The 21,911-nt window shown below is 50.0% G+C and overlaps 1 protein-coding gene, 1 non-coding gene and 1 pseudogene across 17 annotated transcripts in view, besides 1 other annotated feature; all 3 read right to left on the reverse strand.

The window, feature by feature from the left end:
- KIF9 (kinesin family member 9) overlaps positions 1 to 21,911 on the reverse strand; it is a 54,802-nt gene that overhangs the window by 16,940 nt on the left and 15,951 nt on the right. For 15 of the 16 annotated variants that reach the window (XM_047448712.1, XM_006713291.4, XM_005265389.5 and 12 more), the window contains 7 exons: positions 20,793 to 20,940; positions 19,349 to 19,413; positions 12,546 to 12,623; positions 3,081 to 3,149; positions 2,436 to 2,540; positions 1,260 to 1,315; positions 484 to 574 (listed from right to left, as the gene is read on the reverse strand). In XM_047448712.1, the coding sequence (XP_047304668.1) occupies positions 484 to 574; positions 1,260 to 1,315; positions 2,436 to 2,540; positions 3,081 to 3,149; positions 12,546 to 12,623; positions 19,349 to 19,413; positions 20,793 to 20,940 (612 nt within the window). Of the gene's footprint in view, positions 1 to 483; positions 575 to 1,259; positions 1,316 to 2,435; positions 2,541 to 3,080; positions 3,150 to 12,545; positions 12,624 to 18,895; positions 18,963 to 19,348; positions 19,414 to 20,792; positions 20,941 to 21,911 lie in introns of those variants that run through there. The other variant, XM_011534007.3, reaches the window with a different exon arrangement.
- On the reverse strand, positions 5,580 to 5,672 carry SNORD13J (small nucleolar RNA, C/D box 13J). Its single transcript, NR_145712.1, has one exon. It is a non-coding gene; the product is annotated as a small nucleolar RNA, C/D box 13J (small nucleolar RNA).
- SNORD13P3 (small nucleolar RNA, C/D box 13 pseudogene 3) lies at positions 5,588 to 5,689 on the reverse strand (annotated as a pseudogene).
- Positions 14,935 to 15,841: an enhancer, noted in NCBI's record as "OCT4-NANOG-H3K27ac hESC enhancer chr3:47301362-47302268 (GRCh37/hg19 assembly coordinates)". NCBI's record gives its function as "activates a minimal SCP1, AML or CMV promoter by ChIP-STARR-seq in naive H9 embryonic stem cells {active_cell/tissue: H9 hESC(naive)}" and the evidence as "EXISTENCE:reporter gene assay evidence [ECO:0000049][PMID:30033119]".

Here is a 21,911-nt window from a genome sequence, read left to right on the forward strand (position 1 = left end):
CCAGCCAAAGGTCTGTGAGTTAGATTAAGGGCTTGGACCCCTTGGGGACCCACATGTATATGGCCCAAGGCTCAGGGTGGACATGTTCACCATACACACCAAGGTTTGACAGCTGCTGATGCCAGCCTCAGGCTGTCCCCTGTAGAGCGGTCCCTGACCACTCTGCCAAATGTCCACTTTCCACATGCACCCCCTCACCAGTATGGCACCTCATTCCATACTCTGGGGATCTTAAAGCTTATTTCCAACCTAATTCCAGGAAATCGTCTTTAATATTATTATCCATGTCTCTACCTTATGGAAATTATTTTTAATTCAAAAGTGGTTTACTCTTAACACAGGTCACCTGTGTTCATTCTGGTGTTACCTTTATCTGTTGCAATCCTAGCTCTGGTTTAATGCATTAATACTTGCTGGCTCTGCAAAGGTCTGAGGATGGGAAATCTGAGGTGAGTGCTGTCGGCAAGTAGCAACTATGCTTACCTTCTGGATAGCAGAAATGGCTGCAAAGTCATTCCTGTCAATGAGGGTGTACTTCCTGCGCAAAGTGGACTCCACTTCCTGTTCCTGTTGGCTTGGGAGACAGCAAGAGAGAACAGCTTGTACCTGGGGCCATGCTGAATCCACTGGGGCAAGAACCAAGTACTGGGGTTAAAAGTCATATGGGTGAGGCCCCTTGTGTGGGGCCACACCTTCATCATGAACCAGACCAGACAAAAGGACAAAGGACTCACTTCCCCCTGCCCCATTGCATATACCCACTGTCCGACCCCCATACCCACAAGGGCTACCTTATGTCATGTGTGTCTGCTCCAAGATGACACTTGATAAGGACCGTAAGCTTCACTTGGGACCATGTGGGGTTCTGTCTTAGGTTCTGTCTCTAAGAGGCCACTTGGAATCACATGACCAGCTTTAGTGACACCACCTAGCATAAGCTGCTCAGACTATGGGTATGTTTGCACCCAAATAAACCACAAATGCCTCCTGAGGTGGGAGTGTGTGTTGCAATATTCACAAGGTGAATATTCACAATGCCCTGCTCTGGGCACTCTCAGAGCTGGCACTCCATAAACACCTCCTGTCCAATTAATGAACTCACTGAATATCCACCAGGGACCCAGGCATGCCCCCAAGGACTCTGATTTGGCTCTTCATCCACAAGCAAGAAGAGGAGCTCTTGGAGGCAAGTGCCCAGATGGCAGGAGATGAAAATGGCAGCCTGATGTAGGAATGAGGTAGGGGTGGGGGTCTCTCACCTCAGAACCACCCGGAACTGGTTGAACACCTCCTTGATCTGTCTAAGGCTGATTATCTGGAGGGAAGACAGCAAGGCAGAGGTTAGACCAAGGGCACCTCGAGGGACCAGGGGGCATCTATGTTAGTAGAGAAATCAAGACCCCTTGGCTGACCCCTGGACCATCTGTCTCGAGAAGAGGACGTGTGCACACAGCCTCTCAGCGAAGTGGCAGCCAAGCCCTCCTCCAGAGCAGAGAAACACCTGATTAATAATTTTAAAACTAAGTATTTGCTGAGGCTATAAAAACCACCTTTTCGAAGTGGAGACCTCTATAAAATGAAATGATTCTATACCTTGAAAATACCTTCTAAAGGTTTTTTTTTTTTTTTTAATAAAATGTACTTCTCAGCTTTCTCTTACTTCCAAAAGGTTCTGCCTGCTGTCTTCAGATGGAGCCCATTTATGGTCCTGTCTGCATGGGCACAGACACACACACGAGGCTGGAGGAAGGTTACTGGCCTCCCCCCAGCCTAAAGCCCACAGCATTCCCCTTGATCAAGGGTTAATTTGGGACTGCCCCTCCTGTGAAGGCCAGAAGAGTCCATCCCTTAGTTGTCCCAGGCCTGCTTCTCGGAGCTGCCCACAGTAACAGCCAGGGGGGTCTGCCCATGTCTCCAAGAAGAGGGGTTTGATGGACTGCACTGTGAAAACAGGATGCAGCCTTCCCCCTGAGGACCCTTCCTTGTGGGGTGGTTTCCCCCTCCTTGGCCCACTCCAACATGGGCCCTGGGGTCTACCTTGTAGACAACCAGCATGACCACCATCCTTCATCAGCTTCATTCTGCGGACACAGTCAAGCACCCCAGGTGCAGCAGCTCAGTTAATCCCCACTCTGTTTCCCTCCCCACTAGGCAGGTGAGGCCACTGAAGTACACGAGGTTGAGTATTTTGCCAAGGTCACTCAGCAAAGAGGCAGCTGAGCTGGGATTCAATCCTAGAAAGCCTGGCTCTAGGGCCTGTGCTTGTGCCCCTGAGATGAGCTGAAGGGACCCTGACATCAAGAGTCCAGCACCACCCTCCACCCACTGCACCCATTCACATGAGGCTCTGAGGCCAGCAGAGCATGCGTTGGGGTGTGCCCAGGACTGGGAGGCCCAGGCTGGCTGAGCATAGTGGTCACAGAGGGGTTCCTTACGTCGATCTCGTCCAGTGTCCCCTCCAGGTACCTCCGCACCTGGGAGTTGATCTCAGCAATCTGGATTTCATCCATGGGGTCATAGGTCACAAAGGTGCGGTTGGTCTTGAAGGAGGATGAAGAACATGTGGATAAGCAACAAGAACCTGAGCCCACAGGGGAGTGGCAGGGGCCATTCTGAGAGGCAAAGTGGGGAGGCTGGGCACAGGCCCTGGCTGCCCAAGCTGGCTCCTTCCCTTCATCATCGGGTCCTGCCAGAGGGCCTGACACAACAGGCCAGGTGCTTGGGTCAGAGAGGGATAATGGGGTCGGGGAGGAAAGGAAAGACCCTCAGACATGGGTCCTGCTACTCCAGACAGAGGCTCTGCTGGCTGAGTCCCAGCAGACTCTGCAGCATGAGAAAGGCGAGGACGGGAGGCATGCGCTGCCTCTGCCTCGAGGCCCCTCAGGACCGTTGGAGGACTCTGCTCCCAACCCCTGTCCTCATGGACCCTTGCTGCTGCCCCTTTCCTGCCACTGAGCCTGCCCCCCAACCCCGCCCACCATTGGCCTTGACCCATGATGCTGTCTGCCCCTAGCCCCAGTCCCTCTAGTCACCCCCTACCCCAGCACCTCTGCCCTCCTTCTTTGCCTCTAGCCTCTTACCAGGCTGTCATGGATAGCCAGCTCCTGCTTGAGTAGTGCTAGTTCCTTCTCCAGGTTCTTGACCATTCTCTGCCGGGAAACATGGTAGGGTGGGGGCCGACAGGAAGGATCATCAGAGAAGCTACCCTGTCTCTTCCACAGCAAAAGTACAATTCCTCATTCTGTGCCCAGACATCCTGGCCATTCCTGGATCCACAGGGTATGCTTTCAGCTTCTGGTGATTCCCTCCCGACTGGTGACTCTTCCCTAACTGGGGTGAGTTTAGGGTCTGGGAGGACCTGAACAGTCCCCTGGCCTTTGCTACTGCCAGTAGAAGAGACAGCACAAGCCACACAGCCACCTCAAACCCCAACTCCCAGGGGCCCCAGGCTCCTTCCAGTCTACCAGGATAATGGCCCTTTTGGTGCAGCCTACAGACTCCAGAATGCTTTCTTTTTTTTTTGAGACAGAGTTTTGCTCTTGTCGCCCGGGCTGGAGTGCAATGGCATGGTCTCAGCTCACTGCAACCTCCGCCTCCCGGGTTCAAGTGATTCTCTTGGCTCAGCCTCCTGAGTAGCTGGGATTACAGGTGACCGCCACCACACCTGGCTAATTTTTATAATTTTAGTAGAGACAGGTTTTCACCATGTTGGCCAGGCTGGTCTCGAACTCCGGACCTCAGGTGATGCACCCACCTCAGCCTCTCACAGTGCTAGGATTACAGGCATGAGCCACCATACCCAGCACCAGAATGCTTTCTTTTTAGAGAAAGGCTCTTGCTCTGTCCTCCAGGCTGGAGTGCAGTGTCACCATCATGGCTCACTGAAGCCTCAACCTCCTGGGCTCAAGCAATCCTCTCACCTCAGCCTCCTGAGTAGGTCATGCTACAGGTACACACTGCCATGCCCAGCTAATTTTTGTAGAGACAGGGGTCCTACTATGTTGCCCATGCTGGTATCACACTCCTGGGCTCAGGCAATCCTCTCGCCTCGGCCTCCCAAAGGGCTGGGATTACAGATGTGAGCCACTGTGCCTGGCCTCCAGGATGCTTTCTATGCATGGTTATAACCTCATCCTTTCACCCTCATCCTCACCAACCACTGCATGAACATGTCACCACTCCCCAATAATAATCATGTATGTCACCTCTAATTTTTTTTTTTTTTTGAGATGGGGTCTCGCTCTGTCGCCCAGGCTGGAGTACAGTGGCGCAATCTTGGCTCACCGCAACCTCTGCCTCCCGGGTTCATGTAATTCTCCTGCCTCAGCCTCCTGAGCAGCTGGGATTATAGGCATGTGCCACCACGCCCGGCTAATTTTTGTATTTTTAGTAGAGATGGGGTTTTACCATGTTGGCCAGGCTGGTCTCGAACTCTTGACCTCAGGTGATCTGCCCGCCTCAGCCTCCCAAAGTGCAGGGATTACAAGCGTGAGTCACTGTGCCTGGCCTCACCTCTAATTTTTTGCTGCTTACAAACAATGCTGCAAGAACATTTTTGTACTCATATATTTATGTCCTCATAGATTTCTGTAGAATAACACAGTGATCTATGAGGCTTTTGAGATCTGCCCCCATTACCTCTTTTCTGCTTCTCTTCTCTGGTGCACTCCAAACACTTCCACAAATTGGTATGCTTCTGCCTCTGCATTGCTTGTCCGCTGCCCTGGAATTCTCTTCTCCTAAGTATTTCCAAGACTCATTCACTTACCTCCTGATAATCTTTGTTCAAAAGCTTCTAAATTAGGTGCACCACAATTACTCTTTAAAATTGTAATTCCAGCCAGGTGCGGTGGCTCATCCCTGCAATTCCAGTACTTAGGGAGGCCAAGGCAGGTGGATCATCTGAGGTCAGGAGTTCGAGACCACCCTTGTGAAACCTTGTCTCTACAAAAATTACAAAAATTGGCCAAGCATGGTGGCATGCGCCTGTAATCCCAACTACTAGAGAGGCTAAGGCAGGAGAATTGCTTGAACCCGGGAGACAGAGGTTGCAGTAAGCTGAGACCGCACCATTGCACTCCAGCCTGAGCAATAGAGCGAGTCACTGTCTCAAAAAAAAAAAAAATTGTAATACCTTCTCCACCCCTGCAACATGCTTTAAAAATCTCTAATTTTTTTTCATAGCACATTTTGCCTTTTAACATATTCTAGATTAGTGCTGTCCAATAGCACTTTCTGCAATTATTGAAATGTTCCATATTTGTGCTGCCCGGTATGGTAATGATGAGACAAATACAGCTACTGAACACTTGAAATGTGGCTAGGGTGCCTGAAGAAGTAATTCTAATTTTAATTAAATAGCCACATTTGAGTAGCAGTTACCGTATTAAACAGTGAAACTTTAGAACTTACCTATTTATTGTGATTATTATTATGTATCTCCCCTATTCCCATCAGACTGCAAGCTCAGAGATTTGTGTTTCTGTTCATGCAGTCAGGTATTCCAAGTGCTTTAAAAAGCACTTGGCACATAGTAAGCACTCCATAGATTTTAGGTAAGTAAATAAATGATACTTTTTTTTTCAGATCAGACGGGTAATGTGCCAATGTCGTAACAAGGTTCAAGGGTGGCACATCTCACACAAGCGTATGAACACACAATCATCACACTCATGAACTACAAAAGGATCATAAATGACACATTTTGAGGAGAAGAATCGCTAAGTCATTTTATACTCGATATACCATCTGAGTGTCTTCCCTAAAAGAGGCACAAGGAACTTCAAGCTGAGAACCCTCGCTGTGAACAATAGGACTTCCTTTAGTTGTCATAAAAGGGCCACTGGAGGGAGCCCCTGACACCTGGATCCTGGGACTGGTGACCAAAACTGTGACCAGTCCACTGCCCCACTGGCCCTCTCCCAGACCAAAGGCCTGCTGTATTCTAGCCCTCATCCAACCAGGTCACCTGGGCACTGAGGCCCAACTGCCCTCACATAGCAAGGGTCAACAGAACCCCTGGCATCCTGATGGCTCTGTGGCAATTCAGGCACAAAGCCTGGGACCCAAGGCATGTGACCAGTGTCCAGATCCTGGATCTGCCCCTCTGGAAGCCCCACAAAGGTCCCCTTCAGGTGTGGACTTCCTGTGGGGTCAACAGGAGAGGCTTGCTGGCCAGTCTCACCTGTCCACATGCCATCCTTCTCCCAGCTCTAGAAAATGTATCATGGCCCAGCTACAGAAAGTTCGACTGAGCCATCAGGGTCCTCCAGCTTGATGACTCTGTTCAGTGAGGCACAGCAGAGCCAAACTTACATGTCTGGGCCAATCAGAAGGTGATGTAGGAGGCTGGGTGCAGTGGCACATGCCTGTAATCCCAGCACTTTAGGAGGTCAAGGCGGGCAGATCACTTGAGGTCAGGAGTTCAAGACCAGCCTGGCCAACATGGTGAAACCCCATCTCTACTAAAAATAAAAAATAGCTGGGTGCGGTGGCACATGCTTGTAATCCCAGCTACTCAGCAGGCTGAGGCAGGAGAATGGCTTGAACCCGGGAGGCAGAGGTTACAGTGAGCCAAGATTGCACCACTGCACTCCAGCCTGGGCAACAGAGTGAGACCCTGTCTCAAAAACAACAACAACAAACAGGGACATTTTTTAGATAGGAAAAAAATGCCTTGGAAACAGCACAGACTCATGTAAGTTTCCTAATAGGCATTTTCATTATAAATGTAATGAGGATAATTCAGAGAATTCTGCTTAAGCTGCACATCAGGCTGTGGGGCAGCTCTTGGGGCAGGCAGTTTTCCGATTTTCATCCCACTGCAGCTTGCCAGTGTATCTTCTCTTGGCAGAGTGGAGTATACTAAGTCTCTCCCTGCTGTCTGTTTATGCCTGAGGCTCACAGCCCTTTACACCACTTCACAGAATCACCGACTGGCAGAGTGGGAGGGTCACTGCAGGTTATCAGGCCAACTTCCTTGTTCACAGAGGACGACCCTGAGGTTGAGAGGGTCTGAGCAACTCGCCACAGAGAGCTTGTGGAAGAGGTGGATTAGGAACCCAGTCTTCTGCCTTATAGCCAGCCCCATCAGCCAAAGAAATTCTGAAGAAGCAATTCTACCCTCTTGAAAACAGGCATCAATACCGAAGACAGTGCTGAAAATGACCTGAGAATACTGGCTACAGTCTAGGAAAGGCAGCAACCAAAATAATTTTTCCACATCTCTCTCAAGAACTCATGTTTGTAAAGAAAAATGCTTATCAGAAAGATTATAAACACATTCACACTGGATGGCACAGAGACTCACTCAGTTGGCCAAGGCCAACAATGCAGATCTTAGAACACAAATTACATGAAAAAGCATGATTGTCCAACTTCACCAGGCGTGGTGGCTCACACCTGTAATCCCAGCACTTTGGAAGGCTAAGAGGACCCCCTGAGCCCAGGAGCTCAAGACCACCCTGGGCAACATAGGGAGACCCCATCACTAGAGGAAAAAAAAAAAAATTAAGTCAGGCGTGGTGGCGCAGGCCTGTGGTCCCAGCTACTTGGGAGGCTGAGGTGGGAGAATTGCTTGAGCCCAGGCAGTTGAGGCTGCAGTGAGCCATGACAGCACCACTGCACTCCAGCTTGGGTGACAAAGCAAGACCCTGTCTAAAAAACAATAATAAAAAATAAAAAATAGGGGCATGAAAAACCTTCAAGACAGGTACAACGTCCACCCAGCCAGGTTCACGGGTAGCAATGTTGATAATCCTAAGCTAAGGGAACACCAAATAAGAAAAGATAAGAAGGCCAAGCATGTTGGCTCATGCTTGCAATCCCAGCCCTTTGGGAGGCTGAGGCTGGAGGCTCACGAGGTCAGGAGTTTGAGACCAGCCTGGCCAACACAATGAAACCCCGTCTCTACTAAAAATACATAAATTAGCTGGGGGTGGTGGCAGGTGCCTGTAATCCCAGCTACTTAGGAGGCTGAGGCAGGAGAATCGCTTGAACCTGGGAGGTGGAGGTTGCAGTGAGCCGACATTGTGCCACTGCACTCCAGCACTCCAGCCTGGGCGACAGAGCTAGACTCCATCTAAAAAAAAAAAGATAAGAAAATCTTCAAGAATACAGAAAAGCAGAAAACCATACAAAATAATGCCATAAAACCTGGGCAAACCGCCCCAAAATGTGACTTTAATAGCCTGCTGTCACATTGGCTTCAGGGGTGGTTTTTTTGTTGTTGTTTGTTTAGACAGATTCTCCCTCTATTGCCCAGGCTGGAGTGCAATGGCATGATCTCCACTCATTGCAACCACTGCCCCTCAGGCACAAGCGATTCTTGTGCCTCAGCCTCCCGAGTAGCTAGGATTACAGGCATGCACCACTACACTGAGCTAATTTTTACATTTTTTAGTAGAGATGGGGTTCTCCATGTTGTCCAGGCTGGTCTCGCACTCCTGGCCTCAAGTGACCCGCCTGCCTCAGCCTCCCAAAGTGCTGGGATTACAGGCATGAGCCACGCACCCGGCCCAGTGATTTTTTTTTTTTTAAGAAGTAAAACATTTCAGATAAATGTGAAGCTTCTGCATACCATGCTACAAATCCACTCCCCTCCCATCCCAAAAGGAAACCTCTGGCCTCAGTCTGGTTTTTTCACTCCCATGCATTTTTTCTTTTACTGCACACACATATATCCATCAATGATATCAGCATCTCTCTGCATGTTTTTATATGTGGTGTAAATAATAGAGACTGTCGTTTGGGCCACTTCAGGCATCTAGTCTTTTTCTCACTTGAGATTTATCCATGCAGGTAGCTCTAGCTCTGGCTCCCTCATCCCACAACTCACTTAGCTACTCCCCTGTTAAAGGATATTATGTTTCTAATTTTTTGCTATTATAGTAAGTACTATAAAGAGTCACTATTTAATCCTTATTACAATAAGTCTATAAAGAGACTTATAGACTCTATAGAAGAATGGTGCTCACAGTGCTTGTTTTAATAGTGACCTATAGTCTCTCACACATGTGAGAATGTCTCTAGACTATATATACCTAGAAGCAATACTGCTGCTCTGTAGAAGGGAGAGGAGTGCTAAACAACATTTATTGAACATTTACCCCATGACAGCACTATGCTAAGAGGTTTCTACACATTATCTCATTCTTCACAAGATCTCTTTGAGCATGGATTGTGTTATCTACCCAACTTACAAATGAAGAAACTGAGCCTTAGAAAGTGTAGGTATTTTGGCCAGGTGTGGTGGCTCACTCCTGTAATGCCAGCACTCTGGGAGGCCAAGGCGGGCAGATCACCTGAGGTCAGGAGTTTGAGACCAGCCTGGCCAACATGGTGAAACCCTGTCTCTACTAAAAATACAAAAATTAGCTGGGTGTGATGGTGTGCGCCTGTAGTCCCAGCTACTTGGGAGGCTGAGGCAAGAGAATAGCTTGAGCCTGGGAGGGAGAGGTTGCAGTGAGCTGAGATCGCACCACTGCACTCCAGCCTGGGTGAGACTCCATCTCAAAAAACAAAAATTAGCTGGGCATGGTAGCATGTGCCTGTAATCCCAGCTACTTGGGAGGCTGAGGCAGAAGAATGGCTTGAACCTGGGAGGTAGAGGTTGCAGTGAGCAGAGATCGTGCCACTACACTCCAGCCTGGGTGACATAGGGAGATTGTCTCACACACACACACAAAAAAGTGTAGGTATTTTGCTAAGGCTATATACAGCTAATGGAGGAAAGAGCAGGGTGCTAAACCCAGGAGAGCCCAATCCAGTCACCATGGCCTTAACTAGGATGCCAGTGGTTCTCAAGTGTGACCTCAAGAGAGGAGGCCTCAGTGTCATAAAAGGGCCTAAAGAACTTATTAGAAATGGGATAGAAGCCGACCTTAAGATGAAATTTTTAAAAAAGAAAGAAAAAAAAGGGCATCTTCAGGCCCCACCCTAGACCAGCAGAATCAGAAACTCTGGGAATGGATCTAGTGACCTGTGGTTCAACATCAGTCAGGTGATTCTGATGCCTTGTCACATTTGAGAACCGCTGCTCTAAGCTCCACTCCCTCCCCAGTCTCCAAACCATGGGTTAGTTCTACAGAGCCACAGGGACTGTCATTTTCCTTCAGGATTTAGAATCTGAAAAGTTTAACTGGTTTGTCGAGCTTAGGGCTTACAAATGCTCCTTTCTCCATGAGCTATGATTCCATGAGCATCTTAGAGGAAAGCCAAATTAACAATAAATGTGTTTTTACTACACCAGATGTTGCCAGAATGCTCCCCAAAGTGGTTGTATCAATTACACTTTGACCAGAAGTGGACAAGAGTTTCCATTTCTCCACATTCTCATCATCATTTTGTGTTGTCAAAAACATTCTAGTTTTTGCTAATTTAAGGGTAGAATTCCAAAGAGGTTTTAATTTGTATTTCCCTTGTTAATGGTGATGCTGAGCACTCCCTCTGATTGGCCAGCTGTTTACTGGGACGAAAGAGATTCTGTAGTGACATAGCGAGGTGATTCTGAAAGATGGTCCACACTTTAGCCCTTAGCTCTAAGGAAATCTCATGTAGAAGCCTAGAGCACCCAGAGTTTGTAGAACTAACCCATGGTTTGGAGACTGGGGAGGGAGTGGAGCTTAGAGCAGCAGTTCTCAAATGTGACAAGGCATCAGAATCACCTGACTGATGTTGAACTACAGGTCACTAGATCCATTCCCAGAGTTTCTGATTCTGCCAGTCTAGGGTAGAGCCTGAAGATGCCCTTTTTCTTTTCTTTCTTTTTAAAAAATTTTCTTCGCTCTCCCTCTCCCTCTCCCTCTCCCCACGGTCTCCCTCTCCCCACGGTCTCCCTCTCCCTCTCTTTCCACGGTCTCCCTCTGATGCCGAGCCGAAGCTGGACTGTACTGCTGCCATCTCGGCTCACTGCAACCTCCCTGCCTGATTCTCCTGCCTCAGCCTGCCGAGTGCCTGTGATTGCGGGCGCGCGCCACCACACCTGACTGGTTTTCCTATTTTTTTGGTGGAGACGGGGTTTCGCTGTGTTGGCCGGGCTGGTCTCCAGCTCCTAACCGCGAGTGATCCGCCAGCCCCGGCCTCCCGAGGTGCCGGGATTGCAGACGGAGTCTCGTTCACTCAGTGCTCAATGGTGCCCAGGCTGGAGTGCAGTGGCGTGATCTCGGCTCGCTACAACTTCCACCTCCCAGCCGCCTGCCTTGGCCTCCCAAAAGGCCGAGATTGCAGCCTCTGCTTGGCCGCCACCCCGTCTGGGAAGTGAGGAGCGTCTCTGCGTGGCCGCCCATCGTCTGGGATGTGAGGAGCCCCTCTGCCTGGCTGCCCAGTCTGGAAAGTGAGGAGCGTCTCTGCCCGGCCGCCATCCCATCTAGGAAGTGAGGAGCATCTCTGCCCGGCCGCCCCATCTGAGAAGTGAGGAGACCCTCTGCCTGGCAACCGCCCCGTCTGAGAAGTGAGGAGCCCCTCCGCCCGGCAGCCACCCCATCTGGGAAGTGAGGAGCATCTCCGCCCGGCAGCCACCCCGTCCGGGAGGGAGGTGGGGGTCAGCCCCCGCCAGGCCAGCCGCCCCGTCTGGGAGGGAGGTGGGGGGGTCGGCCCCCCGCCCGGCCGGCCGCCCTGTCCGGGAGGGGAGGGGCGCCTCTGCCCGGCCGCCCCTGCTGGGAAGTGAGGAGCCCCTCTGCCCGGCCACCACCCCGTCTGGGAGGTGTGCCCAGCGGCTCATTGGGAACGGGCCATGATGACAGTGGCAGTTTTGTGGAGTAGAAAGGGGGGAAGGGTGGGGAAAGGATTGAGAAGTCGGATGGTTGCCATGTCTGTGTAGAAGGAGGTAGACATGGGAGACCTTTCATTTTGTTCTGTGCTAAGAAAAGTTCTTCTGCCTTGGGATCCTGTTGATCTGTGACCTTGCCCCCAACCCTGTGCTCTCTGAAACATGTGCTGTGTCCACTCAGGGTTAAATGGATTAAGGGCGGTGCAAGATGTGCTTTGTTAAACAGATGCTTGAAGGCAGCATGCTCTTTAAGAGTCATCACCACTCCCTAATCTCAAGTACCCGGAGACACAAACACTGCGGAAGGCCAGAGGGTCCTCTGCCTAGGAAAACCAGAGACCTTTGTTCACTTGTTTATCTGCTCACCTTCCCTCCACTATGGTCCTATGACCCTGCCAAATCCCCCTCTGTGAGAAACACCCAAGAATGATCAATAAAAAAATAAATTAATTAATTTTAAAAAAAATTATTGACTGGCAAAAAAAAAAAAATTTTTCTTCATCTTAAGGTCGGCTTCTATCCCATTTCTAATAAGTTCTTTAGGCCTCACATGTGAACTTGTTGGTGGCCTGACCTAGCCCTTTTACCCCATGACAGCCCCTAAGGGTCTCCAGGGACTCTGAAGACTCTGGCCAGTCCAGGAGTGGAAAAGGGCTGACCCAGGGCTGCATGGGGATCTTTGGTTGAGGCAGGAAGGGAAGGCTCGCTTGTGTGACCCAAGCAGCAAACCCATACACTTTCCCCACAGTGGGACACCTGTCCACAACCCCTGCTGTACCTCAGCATCATACTTTTCATTGATGGCAGGCTCAGTGGTGACTAGCTTCATCCTGCTGGCAAATCTCAGTGAAGATAGCTGCAAAACAGAGCAGGTAGACATTAGATGGCTCGCCACTAAAGTGAGACCCCAAGAGACCGGCCTTCTCAGAGACCTTGCCTGCCCTTTCCTGGCTCCTTAAGCTCCCTTGTCAACCCATGTTGGTTCCCTTCCCCCAGAGGACATTGGTCAAAAGAGTTCTTGGGTATGAGGTCCCCATGAGAAGAGCAGGAAGGTGACAGAGGGCACATCCAGCAGCCTGGTCCTCGTCATGTAGACTGTGAGGATGCGCACTGGTCTATTCATCCAAACCTGACCACTTTCTATCTCTAGGCCTCTGCTCAGGTGACCCCCTGCCTGGAGTACCCTTTTCTGTCCTCCTATGCTGTCTGCCTTCCTGCGTTCCACTCTCTCTCCAAGGCTCAGCTGAAAATCAGCTTCCTTCCTGAAGCCCTCCTGGTTTTCCTTCACATGAAACGTTTCTGCCCCTTCCACAAACCACAGTGATCCCCCTCCTTCACGCAGTTTTCAGGGTCTCGATCAGCCATGTCCAACAGAGATACAATGCAAACTACAAATGTAAGCCATACATGTAATTTTATATTTTCTAGTAACCATGTAAGAAAAGCTAAAAAGAAGCAGGTAAAAATAATTTTAATATGTTTTATTTAAATTTTAACCCAAGATATCAAAAATATTATGGTTTGTTTGTGGGGTTTTGTTTGTTTTGTTTTGTTCTTTTAAGACAGGGTCTTGCTCTGTCATCCAGGTTGGAGTGCAGTGGCACAGTCATAGCTCACTGCAGCCTCTACCTTCTGGGTTCAGGCAATCCTCCCACCTCAGCCTCCTAAGTAGCTGGGGCTACAGGTGTGAGCCACTGAACCTGGCCCCAAAATGTTATAAATTCAACATGTAATCAACATTTTTAAATTATTGAGATATTTTACCATCTGACATGGTTTGGATCTCTGTCCCCACCCAAATCTCATGTTGAAATATAATCCCCAATGCTGGAGGTGGGGCCTGGTGGGAGATGATTGGATCATGGGGATGGACTTCCCCTTTGGTGCTGTTCTCATGGTAGTGAGTGAGTTCTTATGAGATCTGGTCATTTAAACATATGGCACCTCCCTGCCCCTCACTTTCTTCCTCCTGCTCCTGCCATGTAAGACGTCTTCTCCTGCTTTGCCTTCCACCATGAGTAAAAGCTCCCTGAGGCCGCCCCCAAAGCAGATGCTGCCATGCTTCCTGTACAGCCTGTGGAACCATGAGCCAATTAAACCTCTTTTCTTTATAAAGTACCCAGTCTCAGGTGTGAGAATGGACTAATACACCTTCTTTTTTGGTGCTGGGTCTTTGAAATCTGGTGTGCATTTTACACTTGCATTATATGTCAGTCAGGACCAGCCACATCTGAGTGCTCCATAGCTACATGTGGCCAGTGGCTGCCATAGTGGCCAGTGCAGGTCTAGCCCCTGAGCAGCGTCTGCTCAAACTTTACCCTGTGAAGACACCCCTGAGCCATTCCTGGGAGGGCAGATGCTCAGGCCCCCTGATGAATAGACTCAGCAGTCTGGGTGGGAATGGGTAGTTCTGCTGCATTTGGAGGCAGGGGCCTCTAGCCACACATGCTAAGAAAGGCTGCTCTGGGGCGTGACCGATCTGTTAATGAAGCCTGGACTCTGCCCACCAGCCTTAGTCAAGTGTCCTCCCCACCATCCACAGGGAGTCTCCACAGGTTTGGGCTGAAAGGCTTCACTGCCAGCACAGAGATGGGCTCCTACCAGTTTTGTCCCCTGTATACACTTCCCTCAGGGACCTCTCTGCTGCCAAGCCACAAGGCCATGTCAGGACAGGAGGCGTACTGGGCTCTCTCAGCCTCCCTTCAGCAAGGCTTATGGCTATCATGTCTAACCCTGCATCCAACATCTGGGGCCTGGACCTCCCAGAGTGGCCTCAGCTTGCTCAGCCCTTCATTCTGTGAGAGAAGGGGCAGATAATGGGTAGGTAAGTGTGGGGAAAAGCAAGAGAGATCAGATTGTTACTGTGTCTGTGTAGAAAGAAGTAGACATAGGAGACTCCATTTTGTTATGTACTAAGAAAAATTCTTCTGCCTTGAGATTCTGTTAATCTATAACCTTACCCCCAACCCCGTGCTCTCTGAAACGTGTGCTGTGTCAACTCAGAGTTAAATGGATTAAGGGCGGTGCAAGATGTGCTTTTTTAAACAGATGCTTGAAGGCAGCATGCTCCTTAAGAGTCATCACCACTCCCTAATCTCAAGTACCCAGGGACACAAAAACTGCGGAAGGCCGCAGGGACCTCTGCCTAGGAAAGCCAGGTATTGTCCAAGGTTTCTCCCCATGTGATAGTCTGAAATATGGCCTCGTGGGAAGGGAAAGACCTGACCGTCCCCCAGCCCGACACCCGTAAAGGGTCTGTGCTGAGGAGGATTAGTAAAAGAGGAAGGAATGCCTCTTGCAGTTGAGACAAGAGGAAGGCATCTGTCTCCTGCCTGTCCCTGGGCAATGGAATGTCTCGGTATAAAACCCGATTGTATGCTTCATCTACTGAGATAGGGAAAAACCGCCTTAGGGCTGGAGGTGGGACCTGCGGGCAGCAATACTGCTTTGTAAAGCATTGAGATGTTTATGTGTATGCATATCTAAAAGCACAGCACTTAATCCTTTACATTGTCTATGATGCAAAGACCTTTGTTCACGTGTTTGTCTGCTGACCCTCTCCCCACAATTGTCTTGTGACCCTGACACATCCCCCTCTTCGAGAAACACCCACAGATGATCAATAAATACTAAGGGAACTCAGAGGCTGGCGGGATCCTCCATATGCTGAACGCTGGTTCCCCAGGTCCCCTTATTTCTTTCTCTATACTTTGTATCTGTGTCTTTTTCTTTTCCAAATCTCTCGTCCCACCTTACGAGAAACACCCACAGGTGTGTAGGGGCAACCCACCCCTACAGGTAAGCTCATGCCAAGTTATGATAGGGCCAACCCTTCCACAGCGCTTGCTGTGGCCAGGCTCTGTTCTAAGTGTAGAAGTGTGGTTGCTCATTTAATCCTCGCAACTTCCTGTAAGGTAGACGTATCATCAACCCAGTTTTATAGACGAGGACACTGAAAAACAGGGAGGTCAAGGCACCCACCCATGGCCACAGAGCTGGTCTGTGGCCACACAGGAATTCAACTCAGGCACTCCAGCTCCCAAGTCTGTGCTCTTCACAGCTGGGAGCAGGACCAATAGGAAACCCATCCTAGTGCCTGGGTGGGGCCTGGGAGGGGCCAGAGGAGTAGTTTGCCAGGTGATGGGGAAGGGATAAGTGCATCCTGATGGAGGGACAGTACGCCCCAAGTGTGAGGGAGGCGAGAGCCAGGTCAACATCTCAGGTGGACTGAGACAATGACAGGGTGCTCTGGGAGGAGGCTCAGTGGTACTGGCAGTGGAACTGAGAAAGGCCTTGAGGAATCATGGGCCTGGGGAATCAGTTTCTCAGGTAAGGCCAGCAAGTGGTAGGTGTTTGGTAAATGTTGAACCTGAAAGGAGGGAAGCATTGGAATGTTCGTTAGCCTTTGCTACTCAGTAACAAGGCCAAAAATTCAACTCAGCAGAGGTCTAAAATGTGTGTGTGTGTGCTGACTGGCCTCTGTGTCTTTGGCCCATTGCTTGTGAATAGAGATTATTTGCAAAATAGGTAAAATGAGACCACTAGGAAAGATAAATCTCTGCATAGAAGCATGCTCCAAAATGGACTCTGGGGTCCCCGGGACACTAAGAGTGATGCCTGGGGGGTCGCAGCAGAGTCTCTCTGGAGGGGGAGCCAGCCAAGGATAATTATGGCTGGAGGCCTATGAGGCAGCTATGGGAGCAGGCCCAGATGCCATGCCTCATTGCTTGGATGTTAGCTGAGGGGTGGAGAGCTCCTCCTTGGCAGTGACGAACAGCCAGGGGCCTCAGGAGGCAGGCCCAGAGATTCTTGCCTCAGGCCATGCTGGGCTGTCTCATCTCTCAATGAATGATCCTGAAATGAGGAAGCAGTCTAGGAGTGGCTGGCCCCTAAGTGGGCCAGAGGAAAGACTGAAAGGGCTCTTCCTTGGGCAGTCTACTCTGGTGGCTCAGAGCTCAGCCACTGACCCCCTGCAGGACCACTGACAGATCTCACATCTTCTCTGTAAGGTGAAGGGAGAGCTGCCTTGATAAGGTGTATATGCGCTCTGTACAGAGCTGGCTCACAGCGAGCCCTCAAGAAGACGTCTCTGTCATTACAGGTGGTGTTGCTTCTATGCAGGGCCAAGTCAGACTCTCCTACTCCAAGTACAGCCGCAAGTATGGCCATGTCCCATCCCTGTGGTTACTCAGCACACATGTACAGTGTCACTGCATAAAGCAATACAATCCATGATGAGAATAGTTTTAAAGTTTCAACACATTTGGAAGAGACAATCATTAGCTTCCATACCCCCAATATACCTTTGTCCCAAACCCCTGAGACCCCTCCAACAGCTCCTCTGAGCTCTGGGTTCCGTCCTGGGCAGAGAACCCAAGTGGTATATGGGCACAAGCCCCCGGAGACTGCGGGTACCAGGAGTTGTTTCCTGAGCTGTAACCATCACAGGAGGTGGGGATAAAGGGAGACAGGGAGCTTCTACTGTCTTGGAGGGCATCTTTGTTAACAAGGCAGCCAGGAGGCCCATTTCTTATGGCTCTTCTTGGGTTCAACCATGCGGGGTTTTTTTGTTTTTTTTTTTTCTTTTCTTTTGAGATGGAGTCTTGCTCTGTCACCCAGGTTGGAGTTCAGTGGCCCAATCTCCGCTCACTACAACCTCTGCCTCCAGGGTTCTCCTGTCTCAGCCTCCCAAGTAGCTGGGATTACAGGCGCCCGCCACCACACTCTGCTAATTTTTATGTTTTTACTAGAGACAGCGTTTCACCATGTTGGCCAGGCTGGTCTCAAACTCCTTACCTCAAGGAGTGATCTGCCCACCTCAGCCTCCCAAAGTGCTCGGATTACAGGCATGAGCCATTACACCTGGCCTCAACCATGCATTTTATGCCATGAGACCAAGAAGTTCCAGAAGCCTTCCTCTGGGGATGCTGCCTGCACGTCAGCTGGAGCTCTCCTCCCCTGCCTCCCAAGTCCCAGGGTGCTGGATGTACGACAGGAGCACTCTCCTTGGAAGCTGGGACAGTCCCTAATGCACACAGCTGCGAGACCCTGCAGGCATGTCTTGCCCTGAAGCATCTTTGGAAATAATCTGTTTCTCCTAAGTAGATTCTCCAGGTGACTGAAGCTTGCCTTAAACATCCACACTTGAAAAGTAAAATGTCTAATGATAGCTTTCCTAATCTGTCTTTTGTGGGGTTTTTTTGTTTTGTTTTTTTGAGACATCTCACTCTGTCACCCAGGCTGGAGTGCAGTGGTGCAATCTCAGCTCACTACAACCTCTGCCTCCCAGGTTCAAGCGATTCTCCTGTCTCAGCCTCCCGAGTAGCTGGGACCACAGGCATGCACCACCATGCCTAGCTAATTTTTGTATTTTTAGTAGATAGGGTTTCACTATGTTGGTCAGGCTGGTCTTGAACTCCTGACCTCAGGTGATCCACCCGCTTCAGCCTCCCAAAGTGCTGGGATTACAGGCGTGAACCACCACGCCCGGCCCCTAATCTGTCTTATTTATGATGGGTGGCACTTCAGAGGAAGGTTGGGAAAGCCCCAAGCTGGAGGTGCTCAGCTGTGTGGACTCACCTGTGTCACTGGGCTAGACCTTTATTCCTGCCTCTAATTCTCACAAGCTTCTCCCTTCCCCAGGCCACCTGTGTCCTGCCACTTGGATAATCTCCCTGACTAATCCCACCTCTGGCCACAGCCCTCCCCTACTCAAACCCTGTGACAGCTCCAGCCACCTGCAGGAAAACAGCCAAGGCCTCAGCCAGGACACCAGAGCCGATTCAGCCCCTGTGATTTCTTTTCTTCTTCTTGCTGAGAGCCCCCACCCCCCGCAGTAGATAGATGTTCCTGGTGTGGGTCACATCTTCAGTCCCACTATTACCTCTGCCAGGAATACCTCTGCTTATCCTACCACCCATCCTTTAACCCCAGCCAGCTCAGTGCCCATCTTTCCCTACTCCAGCTTCAGGAAAAGTTCCCCATCACCCCCATCCTGGCCTCCTCTGAAGGTCTCCTCCCTCTGGGCCTCACGTTACTTAGGACCATGGCTTCTCTCTCTTTCTGGGTTGAGGATGCTGAGGCCCAAGGGCATTTAAGACTAATTTCTACCAGGTTACTCCTGCTTACCATGGTGCACATGGCAGGTGCTTAATACCATCTGCTCATACTGGCCTTATAACCACAGCCTGGAACCCTGTGGGGTTTTCAAGATGTTTAAACATGTGTGATTATAAAGAACAAGTCACCAACGATCCTTCTTGATCCCAATTCCAGGAGCAGCACCCCAGGAAACATGGTCCTTGTCTTCACAAAGCTGGCTCTCAGCCTCCCTCCTCACACAGTCTCCCATGCTGAGCCTGCCTGCTGGCTGGCCCTTTTCCTCCGCACAGCTTAGTGCTTGGTGTGTGGATCCTAGCTCTGGGCCCCCTCAGCAACTGTGGCTCAGACTCACCCCTGGATCCTTCCACTCTTGACAATGTCTATGGCCACTGTGCCAGGGTAGCCAGCCTGGAGCCTTACCCTGCCCTGGCACCCATGAAGGGGGATTCCAGCCTGGTTTCACTGACTGTCTTTACATACCGTTTCTTCTAACTGGGCAGCTTCTCCATAGATGTTTGTCACGAGGACCATATTGCAGTTTCCCCCTGCGGAAAGCAAGACACAGAAGGGCTATGAACCATGTGTTTTTTCTGCTCCAAAGGAGTTGATGGGGTCTGTTATATACTGAATGCTTTTTATTTGTTTTTTTGAAACAGGGTCTCACTATGTCACCCAGGCTGTAGTGCAGTGACACAATCACAGCTCACTGCAGCCTCAGTCTCCTGGGCTCAAGTGATCCTCTTGCCTCAGCCTCCCAAGTAGCTCGCACCACAGGTGCACACTACCACACCTGGCTAATTTTTTTTGTTTTTAGTAGAGATGAGGTCTTGCTATGTTGCCCAGGCTGGTCTTGAACTCCTGGCCTCAAGCGATCCTCCTGTCTCAGCCTCCCAAAATGCTGGGATTACAGGTGTGAGCCACCACACCTGGTCAAGACTGAATGTTTTTGTCCTTATAAAATTCATATGTTGAAGTTGTAACCCCGACGTGATGGCATCTGGATGGAGGACTTGGGGAGGGGGAGGTAATTTGGTTTAGTTGAAGTCAGAGGGTGGGGCCCCCATGATGGGGTTAGTGTCCTTATAAGGAAAGAGACCAGAACCCTCTCTTTCTTTCCATGTGAGGATACGCGAGAAGGTAGCCATCTGCAAGCCAGGAGGAGGGCCCTCGCTAGGCATTGAATCTGCTGGCACTTGAATCTTGAACCTTCCAGTCTCCAGAACTATGTGAAATAAATGTCTATTGTTTAAGCCACTTAGTTTATGGTATTTTCTTATAGCAGCCTGAACTGAGACAGGGTCAGAGAGGACACACACATCTGTGAGGCTGGGAGGTAAGGGGAAGAGAGAAAGAGAGGCCACCACATGTACCTAAAAGAGGATCCAGGAGAAAACAGCAGAGGAGAGATGATACAGGGCAGGGAGGGGCAGGGACAGGAGAGGGAGGTATGAGTTGGAGCTTTGCTCAGGGTGGCACTCAGTTAACAATCAGACACTAGTGACTGTGTTGTCAGGCTCAACACAAAGGCCTAGGGCTATGGGGATGATAAGACAAAGCCCCCGCTGCTCTGTACAGGAGGCTGCAGGGGAAGGGAAGACACCATGGGAGAGAGGCCCTCGCCCCAAGTCTTCAGGCTGTGAAGGATTCTGCCAGCTGTCTCCTCAGGACAAGAGGAAAAGAGAAGGTATTCCTAGCACAGGTAAAAAGCCTAAGGAAGGTTCTGAGGAGTGAATAGCATAGTGTGTTCTGGGCACAGTGCTTGATTCTGCCTTTCCAGGTGTCTGAAGTCACTGTGAATGTGCTGCAGGTGAATCCATGCCACCAGGAGGGAGCAATTCTATCATCACCAGTGGCAGATGTGCCAAACCTGTCCCTCCCCAAAGACACAGACCCTCCTCCCTGGGCAGCAACTGTACCCCCTCACCTAACGAGTCCTTCAGAGCGTGGGTGAGCTTGCACTGCCGAAAGGGGATGTGGTCCCGCTTCTGGTCCCCAAGGGCAATGATGGCCTGCTCCAGGAATGAGAGCGATTTGTTGATGTAGGTGGCTTCCTTCAGGACTTGGCCCTCAGACTACAAAGCAAAGGTCAGTTCCACTTTGGATGGAATAAAGCAGCTGCCCCACTAAGAATAGCAGTCTTCCTGGTCTGGAGAAATGCTATAAGTCTGTGGTCAGGTCAGCGCCTCCTTCCCAGAACCAGGGTCTTCTTTCAATGTCATGCGATTGTATTCCATCTTGGGCTAATAATGGTAATACCAAAACTCAGAAATATTCATGTGAACACTCATGTGAATACTCATGCGAATGTGAATGCTTACATGAATATTCATATGGACATTCACTCAAAGATTCACACTAATATGAATATGTACTGAAATACTTGTCTAGATATTTGAGCAAAGAATCCTGTGAATATTCACACAAACACTCATGAATGCACATACAAATGCTCATCTGAATACTCTTGTTAATACTTCTGCTAATACACTCATACAAATATTTATTTGAAATACTCATGCAAATACTCATACGAATACTCATATTCATTCACAAAGAAGCCAGGTGTGGTGGCTCACACTTGTAATCCCAGCACTTTGGGAGGCCAAAGCAGGAGGATCGCTTGAGCCCAGGAGTTCAAGTTCAGCCTTGGCAACATAGCGAGACCCCGTCTCTACAAAAAAATTTAAAAATTAGCTGGTCATGGTGGTGCATACCTGTGGTCCCAGATACTTGAGACACTGAAGTGGGATGATCACTTGAGCCTGGGAGGTCAAGGCTGCAGTGAGCTGTATTTGTGCTACTGTACCCCAGCCTGGGAGACACGGCGAGACTGTGTCTCAAAACAACAACAACAAAAACACACACAGAGAAATGCTATACCAGCAAGGAATATTTACTGAGCACTGAGTGCCAGGCACTTTGCTAAGAATGTAGAGGGCACTATCTCATTTAATGTTTACAAAAATCCTCTGAGGTAGGAACCGCCCCCAGGTAATAGCCGTTCCCTTTTTGCAAATCCTGTCCCTCCAGCAAGCCCACATGT

This window comes from Homo sapiens, chromosome 3 (genome assembly GCF_000001405.40).
Source record: "Homo sapiens chromosome 3, GRCh38.p14 Primary Assembly".
Classification (NCBI taxonomy): Eukaryota; Metazoa; Chordata; class Mammalia; order Primates; family Hominidae; genus Homo; species Homo sapiens.